Source organism: Homo sapiens, chromosome X (assembly GCF_000001405.40).
Source record: "Homo sapiens chromosome X, GRCh38.p14 Primary Assembly".
Taxonomy (NCBI): Eukaryota; Metazoa; Chordata; class Mammalia; order Primates; family Hominidae; genus Homo; species Homo sapiens.
The window spans coordinates 68,429,924-68,440,112 of NC_000023.11; the positions used below are offsets into that span (position 1 = coordinate 68,429,924).

Below are 10,189 nucleotides of genomic sequence, written 5' to 3' on the forward strand. Positions count from 1 at the left end.
ACTCGGGAGGCTAAGACACGAGGATCACTTGAACCCAAGGGGCGATGGCTGCAGTGAACTGCGATCATGCCACTGCACTCTAGCCTGGGTGACAAAGCAAGACTCTGTCTCAGAAAAAAACAAAAAAAAAAAAAGTGATTTGTGTTAGATCCCAAGATGGAGAAGCCAAGAACATAATCCTGATCTTCTAACTCCGATTCCAGTGTTCCTTTTTCCTTTTTCCTCAACACAGAGCAAGAACATAACTTTGTTTTGCTTCCACCCTACCTACTTTCAGAAAGTCGCTCCGCTGGCACAGTGTGAGGAAGGAGAGTGGGAGTATAAACATCACTGTGGTCAAGACAGTAGGAAACATCCTACCTTTGCCTCTAGCTAATCAGACTTTTAGAATCCATGCAATTGAATGGAAAGAAATGGAGAATGGGTTAGCTGCTGGGTTTTATTTTCTACCTGTCCTATTTTTGGCTTTCTGTGTATACTCAGAAACAGAAAACTACCACAAATTTCAAGGAGCCCCTAATCTAGAATATCTCTTGGATCTTCTGCTCATATGCAAAATTTTAGATCTGCTTAACTGTTGACTCTTATCACTTTGAGTCTTAGAAAAGAAGGAAAGAGGCCAGGCGTGGTGGCTCATCCCTGCAATCCCAGCACTTTGAGAGGCCAAGGTGGGTGGATTACCTGAGGTCAGGAGTTCAAGACCAGCCTGGCTAACGTGGTGAAACCCCATCTCTACCAAAAAATACAAAAATTAGCCAGGCGCAGTGGCACATGCCTATAGTCCTAGGTACTGGGGAGGATGAGGCAGGAGGATCGCTTGAAACCAGGAGATCCAGGCTGCAGTGAGCTGAGATCATGCCACTGCACTCCAGCCTGGGCGACAAAGCAAGACTTCATCTCAAAAACAAAAATTGAAAAAAAAAGAAAGAAAAGGAAAGAATAAAAACCTTTACTTGCCCCTAGCTTATGAAACTTTTGCTCTTCCACCATGTTTTATTGAACTACTTTTTTTCTTATAAATCTTAATCTCTCTGATATGCCTTAGCTGGTGATTTTTAGCATGCTTTTAGTTACCATCCACTTCACAAAGCCATTCTGTTCCTAGGGCTTATGATGAGATTCGTTTTACTGGGGACACAGCACCAAGCAGTTTACTGTAATATATAAACAAAACAAAACAAAGCTGAAACATTCCTCCTTTTCCTTTCCGTGAACTCTCACCTTTCTACTTATGTAGCACAACCTGCATATCCTTAACCTCTTAAGGATCAGCATTTCAGATACTACTAGGAGTTTACTCTTGGTCAGGCCACAATAAGACAAATCATTAAAAGATCAAACACAATCAAATGACCTGCAGGAACTTCGACAGTGTACATATTCTGACCAAAAGTGGGCAGAGAGCATGTGAAGGAAAAGCACCGACTCCACAGGGCAAATCAGAAGGGCTGCACAAGAAATACCAGCTGGCAGCAGTTACCAACACACTACCACTTTCTTTTCTTTTTTTGAGATGGAGTTTCACTCTTGTTGCCCAGGCTGTAGTGCAATGGCACGGTCTCGGCTCACTGCAACCAACATCTCCTGGGTTCAAGTGATTCTCCTGCCTCAGCCTCCTGAGTAGCTGGAATTACAGGTGCCTGCCACCATGCCCAGCTAATTTTTTTTTTTTTTTTGTATTTTTAGTAGAGACAGGGTTTCACCATGTTAGCCAGGCTGGTCTCGAACTCCTGATCTCAGGTGATTCACCCGCCTTGGCCTCCCAAAGTGCTGGGATTACAGGCGTGAGCCACCTCGCCCAGCCTCGCACTACCACTTTCAAATCTTTCTTTCTCCCTGCTCTTGGTTGACTGCATCCGCCTAAGAAGGTTGCCACACTGGTCCTAGACCCTGTATTTGGTGATAAATTCACTCAAAACAAAGTTATAACCATATAGGACATACTTGCCAATGACTCTGAGTTTATTTTTCACAATCATCTTTCAGCCAAGAGAAAAAATTAATTATCACTCCACCCAATCATTACCCTCCATTCTTCTGTGTATATGCTTTGGCATAAAGGGTTGGCTTGCCTGCACTCTCGTTGGGGATGTTTATTATTCTTTCTTTTACTCCAAGCCTCCTACCAACAAGCAGAAAAAAAACCTCCACACACAATGGGGGAAGGAGAGAGCTTCCCACAGCTGAGTCAGCTGTGAGCACTGGAAAAGCGAAGCTAGGTGAAGTTCCTTCAGCCCAGCAGCCCCCAACCCTATCCCTATTTTACTCCCTGGGGGCTGGGCCCCTTGTGGCAGGGACTAAGTAGTCAGCTCTTTGTTCCACACTCAAGCAGAATTCAGTGGCAGGTGAAGCCATCCAATAATCCTGAACTTAGACTGACCTTGACCTAAACCATAGCTCAGTGTGATAAAGAAAATAATTCACTGGGGCAAAGGTGCTTTCCTTAAAAAATAACTTGCCATGGCGAATTTTTTACTGCCCCCCACACTTATCTGTAGCAACCAGAGACCAGGACAAAATTATTATTCAAGCTGCTGACCTTAATCCCCAATTGTTTAGGAGGTGCTGGGGCAGTTCCTTGGTCAGCTTGGATGTCACTTTGCCCCAGACAGGGGTGCTGAATATGTCTAACAGTACAGCAGATTGTCCCTTAAGAACAATCATCTGCCAAGTAAGGGTAATTGCTGAGCAAGAGGGTCCCTGGCACAGCTACGGATCACGTCTTATAAGGTCAAAACCACTAAAGGAAAAGGCCCAAAGTTCTGGTTGTATCCACCACTTTCCACTTCTACTATCTCCACTCCCCAAGTGTGGGAAACCCATTTGCCTCAGAGATCTGGGCTGGGAGTCACCCTGCAATCTCCCTTCCCCTGGTGGTGTGGAAAGGCTTAAAGGCCAGACACACCAGCTCAGAGAAACAGCTCATCGAAGCCTTGCACTTACTTCTCATAGCGCTGATAAGCGCGTTGCCGTCTTTGATTACGTCTTTGATGAATTTGTTGGTCCTCTCCAGTTCCTGCTCATAACACTTGAGCCTCTCGCGGAAATCGGGGCTGTCCAGGTAGCAGTCGCTGAACTCCAGCGGGGGATGACCCATGGTTCTGATGGCCGGGAGTAGGGGGAAAGGGGAAAGACACAAAGACCGAGAGCATCAATGGCACAGTAGAGGAAGTAGAGGGGACGGACTGAGCGCGCGACCCGCTTAAGGAAGCTCATAGCCTCCGTCCCTTTGGAGGACAGGTACCTGTTTCAGTGAGACTCCTGAGGAGCGCTGGCTGGTCCGGACAGAGAACAGGCGCCCCGGCGATGGCTTCAGGGCCAGGGAGAGCTAACTATCGCAGTCGGATCCCGGCAGGGTGCTGCCTAGCAAGCAGCATGTCCCTTAGGCATCGCCTTCCCAGATAAGCAGCAAAAACCGCAGCCCGACTTGCCTCCGGAGACGGGCCGGATCCTTCCTGAGCAATTGCAAACGTGACACTTGGGCCCGCCCAAGGTGTAGGCGAGGTTAGAGCTGGAGCTGGGAACAGCCTCTCTACAGGCTCCTCGCTCCGGAGCGAGCGGAAGACTTCCTTGGCCGAACTCCGCGGGCAACCCGGATTGCACTGTCCCCTCCCCTTTCTTAAAGCCAACGCCTGCGCCCCGCCCCAGCGAAGCCCGAGGACCAAACCGGAGCGCTCTGGCTCCTTCCTCAACTGTTTTCCTTGTACCTTAGAGTTTCCTGACCAGGGCCCGCTGGCTGCTAAGACTTCTTCCTGGTGCAAGGGAGCCGGCCGGCCGGCCGTCCTTTTAGGCGCCGGAAGGGTTAAGCCAGGGCGGCAATGAAACGTAGCCTCGCTCCATAGACACTGCAGCGGGAAGAGGAGGGCGAGAGCGCGACGCACAATAGCCGCGGTAGCCCAGCGCTTCCCTACGGAAACTGGGGAGCAGTCAGCGCCCTAGGACTCCAGCTGGAAAGCGTGGCGGCCTGGGAGATGTAGTCTTTCCGTTTGCACTCCCCAAGACTCCTCCCTGCAGTCTCCCCACCACCCCGCCTGGGAGGCTGCTCTCCCAGAACGGCATTCCCAGCCTGCCGCAGGCTCCTGCGCAGGGACCGGCCCCAAGGGGCAGGTGCGCGGCGCTGGACTCTGCGGGGGAAGTTTCCGAAACTAGAGCAAGAACCCGCAAGACTAGATTGCAGGAAGCCATCTCTCAATTCCCATGATTCGGCTGGGTTGTGTATTCTTTTGCCTTCCCCTCTTTCCAGCCTCCTTCGGACCTACCAACTTCTTTTCCTCTTTCTTTTCCCATGTCTCCTGCTCTAAGTGCTCTAATTCCCTTGGGCCTTCGACCTGAAGGGTTGATTCCTACTCTAGGGTCTCCGTGAAGCTCAGTGCCCCCTGCCAAAGAAAGGGAGGCCATAATTCAGAGTTAATATTTTCCTGAATAGGACCTCAGAGCATGGCTTTTGTGGCAGACGCCGATAATGCATATGATTTTCCATGTGTAAGTGGAAAGTCTAAGAATAGGATGTTATAAATTGTCTTGCAGCTTACCTTAAAGGCAGCTGTCTTGAGACTAAGGGTAGGTAGAGGCTCGAAAAACTAAAAAATAGTTTGTGCGTGGGCAAAGAGATCCCTTTAATTCTGCAGAAGTGTTTACATTAGATTGCCCTGTGAAGAAAGCCAGAACGGAAGGGGGTTGTAAATAGAATAATAGTGGCTGACCCACCTGAATTAGGGTCCTGTTGCTGCTGTGACAAATTACCACAAACTTGATGTCCTAAATCAGCATAAAGTTATAATCTACAGTTCCAGAAGGCAGAAATCAGAAATGGGCCTCACTGGGATCAAATCAAGATGTTAGAAGGGTTGTGTTCATTTTCAGATAGTCTAGGGGTAGAATCTGGTTCCTTACCTTTTCCGGCTCAAGCTGCTCACATCCTTTGGCTCATAGCTCCCTTCCTCCGTCTTTAAAGCTAGCACTGGCCAGTCAAGTCTTTCTCATGCTACATCACTGTGATTCTCATGCCTCCCCTTAAGGACCCTTATGATTACACTGGGTCCACAGGATAATCTCCCCCATCACATCATCCTTAATCACATCTGCAAATTTCATTTTGCCACATAAGATAACGTAGCCACAGGTTTCAGGACATGGACATCTGTGAAGGAGGAAACATTATTCTACCCACCACACAACCTATCGCCCATCTCACTAATCTTCAAAACAACCCTATGAGGATGGTTTTATTATTATACCCATTTAAAGATGGAGAAGCTGGGTCAAAGAGAGTTTAAGTGACTTGCCGAAGGACAAACAGCTAGTTAAATGGCAGCACTTGAACTTGAGCCCAGCCTGGCTGGCTCTAGAGGTAGTGCTCTTGACCACTACACTATATAGCAGAATGGCAATGAGAAAACGCCCTCTGAAAATAAATAAGTAGCCACATCTCAGGGGAAAGTTTTGTTTCTTACTCTTTTTATCTTTAAGGTTAATTTATGGGAAAATGTCCAAAATGAGCTTTAAATGCACCATGGGTTGAAAAATGCAGGTACTAAGGGAAGGTACCCATTCAATGGGTATATGGTCTTTCACACTAGTAAGTTTCCTTTTAGCATTCATTCACTCGTTTAACAAGCATTTTTTGAACACCTGCTATATACTTTTATTTATAAAGCCTATACATATATTTTCATCACTATAAAAATTGCCATTGACATTTTTTAAAATTTTATTTATTTATGTATTTTTTTGTTTGAGAAAGGGTCTCACCCTGTTGCCCAGGCTAAAGTGCAATCAATAGCTCAATCACGGCTCCCTGCAGCCTCGACCTCCCTGGGCTCAGGTGATCCTCCCACCTCAGCCTCCTCCTGAGTAGCTAGGACTACAGGCACATGCCACCACACCTGGCCAATTTTTGTATTTTTTTGTAGAGACGGGGTTTCACCATGTTGGCTAGGCTAGTCTCAAACTCCTGGGCTAGAGGGATCCACCCACTGCAGCCCCCACCAAAGTGCTGGGATTACAGGTGTGAGCCACCATGCCCAGCTGCTGTTGACATTATTGATGTTAGATTCAATCATACTCATCTGAGTTCCTATACTCAAAGTGTTTTACAGTCATCTGTGTTATCCTTTATCTAGACAATGAAACTAAAGCACAGAAATAACAAATTCCCTAGACCAAATACCGAAGAAGAAACAGGGCTAAAATTAGAACTCACACGGCGTGGTGGCTCACGCTTGTAAACCCAGCACTTTGGGAGGTCAAGGCGGGCAGATCACCTGAGGTCAGGAGTTCAAGACCAGCCTGGCCAACATGGGGAAACCCCATCTCTATTAAAAATAAAAAATTAGCCAGGTGTAGTGGTGTGTGCCTGTAATCTCAGCTACTCAGGAGTCTGAGGCAGGAGAATCGCTTGAACCCAGAATGCAGAGGTTGCAGTGAGCCAAGATTGGGCCACTGCACTGCAGCCTGGATGACAGAGCAAGACTCCATCTCAAAAAAAAAAAAAAAAAAAAAAAAAAAAAAAAAAAAACTCAGTTCTTCAGATAATACTTGCATTCATCAAGCACTATCTTAATTGCTTTGCACAATTTCTCCCTGACCCTCACAGCTAACCCTATGTCACTGAGAGTCTTTAAAATTTTGTTCACATAACCCCTAAAAGAATTTTGGGAGCTATGTACTCCTTCGTTTTTAAGTGGTATCTTTTTTTTATTTTATTTTTTTGAGACAGAGTCTCACTCTGTCACCCAGGCTAGAGTGTGGTGGCACGATCTCCACTCACTGCAACCTCCACCTCCCAGGTTCAAGCAATTCTCCTGCCTCAGCCTCCCGAGTAGCTGGGATTCCAGGCACATGTCACCATGCCCGCTTTATTTATTTATTTATTTTTAGTAGAGATTGGGTTTCATCATGTTGGTCAGGCTGGCCTTGAACTCCTGACCTCGAGCGAGCCACCCACCTCAACCTCCCAAAGTGCTGGAATTACAAGCATGAGCCACCACCCCTGGCCTAACATCTAAATTTTTTCATTATGCTTAAATAGTTGCAAAAAGTTTAATTTCTAACATACTAGGAATATTGACGTTTTAAAATAAAACTGTTACATCACTCTTTTAAAAGTATTCAATCTGACATCCATCATCAAACGCACAAAGCAAAACAAAGTGTAAACACATCTTGAATCTTCAAAAAATTTATTCTATTGTTCATTTTTTCTTCTTCAAATCAATTATCTATACGTTTTCCCCACAGAAATTTTATCCTTTTTTTTTTTTAAACAGTCTTACTCTGTCACCCAGGCTGGAGTGCAGTGGCACAATCTTAAGTGCACTGCAGCCTCGAACTCCTGAACTCAAACGATTCTCGCATCTCAGACTCCCAAGTAGTTAAGAGTATATGCCTGAGCCACCATGTCTGGCTAATGTTTTTTGTTGTTGTTGTGTTGTTTTGTAGGGACAGGGTCTCACCATGTTGTCCAGGCTGGTCTCAAATTCCTGGCTTCAAGCAATCCTCCTGCCTCGACCCCAAGCCCTGGGATTATAGACATGAGCCACCGTACCTGGCCAACCATCATACTTCCATACTTAAAGTCTATTGATCACCATATTGAATTTCTCTGCAACAAAAATATGCTCACAAACATAATTTTTTTTTAAACCGGGTCTCACTCTGTCACACAAGCTGGAGTACAATGGTGCAATCACAGTTCACTGCAGCCTCAAATTCCCAGGCTCACACAATCCTCCCACTTCAGTCCCAAGTAGCTGGGACTACAGGCGCACGTCACCACACCCTACTAATTTTTTAATTTTTAATAGAGACAGGGCCTCCCTATGTTGCCCAGGCTGGTCTCTAACTCCCGAGCCCAGGAAGCCAAGGCAATTCTCCTGCCTTGGCTTCCCAAGGTGCTGGAATTACAGGCATGAGCCACCATGCACAGCTCATAAATAGAAAGTTAATTCTTTTTATTTCCTTGTGACCATAAGGCTTCATGGATTAAAAAGCTTCTGTGATTATTAAGCATACATAATAGAGTAAAATAATGCGAACACATTGTAATTATTATTAAATATAAAATTTTATTGGGGCTGGGCATAGTGGCTCACTTCTATAATCCCAGCACTTTGGAAGGCCAATGCCGGCAGATCACTTGAGGCCAGGAGTTCGAGATGAGCCTGGCCAACATGGCGAAACCCTATCTCTACGAAAATACAAAAAAAAAAAAATAGCCAGGCATGGTGGAGTGAACCTGTAATGCTAGCTACTGAGGAGGCTGAGGCAGGAGAATCACTTGAACCCCGGAGGCGGAAGTTGCAGTGAGCCGAGATCACACCATTGCACTCCAGCCAACAGAGTGAGACTCTCTCTCAAAAAAAAAAAAAAAAAAGTTTATTGGAACTGCATCTCTTAGTAAGATGGTTAAGAAAGAGGTAGGTTTCAGGGCATTGAGTTAAAGAAGATTCCTGAACACCAATATTTTAAATTATTTCTATGTTTAGCCCCAAGGGTTTTTATACCTTGGGCCAAAGCACCATAGTAAGATTCTTGATGTTTAAAAGGTATGCTTTCCCTTTGAGATATTGAGCAAGGGAGGTAGGAAAGGAAAACTGGAGGTGAGTTCTCAGACAAATGATTTTTAGAAAAAGTGCTAAAGAAAATTGCGTATCCGGAAATTGGTTCACTTTCGGCTACCTGGTGACCTCAAAGCCGTTGGACAGTTTCCATGTGCCTTGCTCTGGACTGAGTATTTGTATTCACCCAGTTTATATGTTGAAATCCTAACCCTCAAGGTAATGGTATTAGGAGGTGGGGCATTAAGACTTGGTTAGGTCATGAGGGTGGAGCCTTCATGAGCTGGATGAGTGCACTTGTAAAAGAGGCCTGAGAGAGCTCCCTTATCCCTTCCACCATGTGAGGACAGAGATAAGACAGCAGTATACAAAGCAGGAAGCAGGCCTTCAGCAGGCACTGAATCTGCAAATGCCTTGATGTGGCACTGAGGCAGGGGAATAGGGTCTGGAGGCAGGGAACCTAAGGCCGTTTCACACTGACTTCCTATAACTAAATTGAAAGGAAAATCCCAACTTTCCACGCCTAAGTAACAAAAGGACCAGAAGCTACTCCCTTTGCAAACTCCCACCTTTTCTGAGGGGCAGATGGAAAATTGAAAGTACCTCTGATTGACTGCCGAAAGCATAGGAGTGTAACTTTGTAACATCACTTCAGCCTCTGATTGGTTGCTTTCTACAACTAATCAGACTGATTGGGGGCCACCACTTTATTTACATGGGGTGAACACCAAATAGCTAATGGGAAACGTCTAGGGGGTATTTGGACCCCAGAAGATTCTGTATGGGGGCGCTTGAAAAGCTTGCTCGGCCCACTTCCACACTGTGGAGCGTGCTTTCATTTTCAATAAATCTCTGCTTTTGTTGCCTCATTTTTTCCTTGCTTTGCTGTGCGTTTTGTCCAATTCTTTGCTCAAAATGCCAAGAACCTGGGCAACTTAAAGTGAAAACCTTCTACCTGTAACAGGACTTCTTAGCCTACAAAACTGTAAGAAACAAACTTCTGTTGTTTATAAGTCTCCCAGTCTATGATACTTTTGTTATAGCAGCCCAAATGGACTAAGACATACCTTCAGGGCTAGGCATACCCCAGTGTAAAGACAGCTGCTACGGTATTATCATCCTCACTTTATATGTGAGGGATGGTAGGCTCAGAGAATTTCAGTAATTGCCTAGTCTCGTGTAACTAGTAAGGGTTTAACAAGCTCCACTAGTTCGATGCAATTTGAGTCTGTGACAGTAAAAAGAATACACATGCACATGCACTTATAAGCAGGGTTTGCCACCATTTTACAAGGAAGCGAAAGAAATCCCATTTTAGGAGGGGCCCAGTGGCTCACATCTGATATCCCAGCACTTTGGGAGGCCAAGGCAGGCAGATCACTTGAGGGCAGGAGTTCGAGGCCAGGAGTTCGAGACCAGCCTGGCCAACATGAAGAAACCCTGTCTCTGCTAAAAATACAAAAAACTAGTTGTTCGTGGAGGTGTGAGCCCGTAATCCCAGCTTCTCATAAGGCTGAGACATGAGAATCATTTGAACCCGGGAGGCAGAGGTTGCAGTGAGCCGAGATCACACCACCGCACTCCAGCCTGGGCGACAGAGCGAGACTCCGTTAAAAAAAAAAAAAAAAAAC

General features: G+C 45.9%; 1 protein-coding gene across 6 annotated transcripts in view; it reads right to left on the reverse strand.

Moving 5' to 3' along the window:
• OPHN1 (oligophrenin 1) overlaps window positions 1-3,918 on the reverse strand; it is a 391,498-nt gene extending 387,580 nt beyond the window's left edge. For 4 of the 6 annotated variants that reach the window (NM_001437258.1, XM_006724653.3, NM_002547.3 and 1 more), the window contains exons 1-2: window positions 3,245-3,572; window positions 2,944-3,101 (exon numbers count right to left, since the gene is read on the reverse strand). In NM_001437258.1, the coding sequence (NP_001424187.1) occupies window positions 2,944-3,097 (154 nt within the window). In that variant the 5' untranslated portion in view covers window positions 3,098-3,101; window positions 3,245-3,572. Of the gene's footprint in view, window positions 1-2,943; window positions 3,102-3,244; window positions 3,573-3,707 lie in introns of those variants that run through there. The other 2 variants (XM_011530961.2, XM_047442145.1) reach the window with 1 other exon arrangement.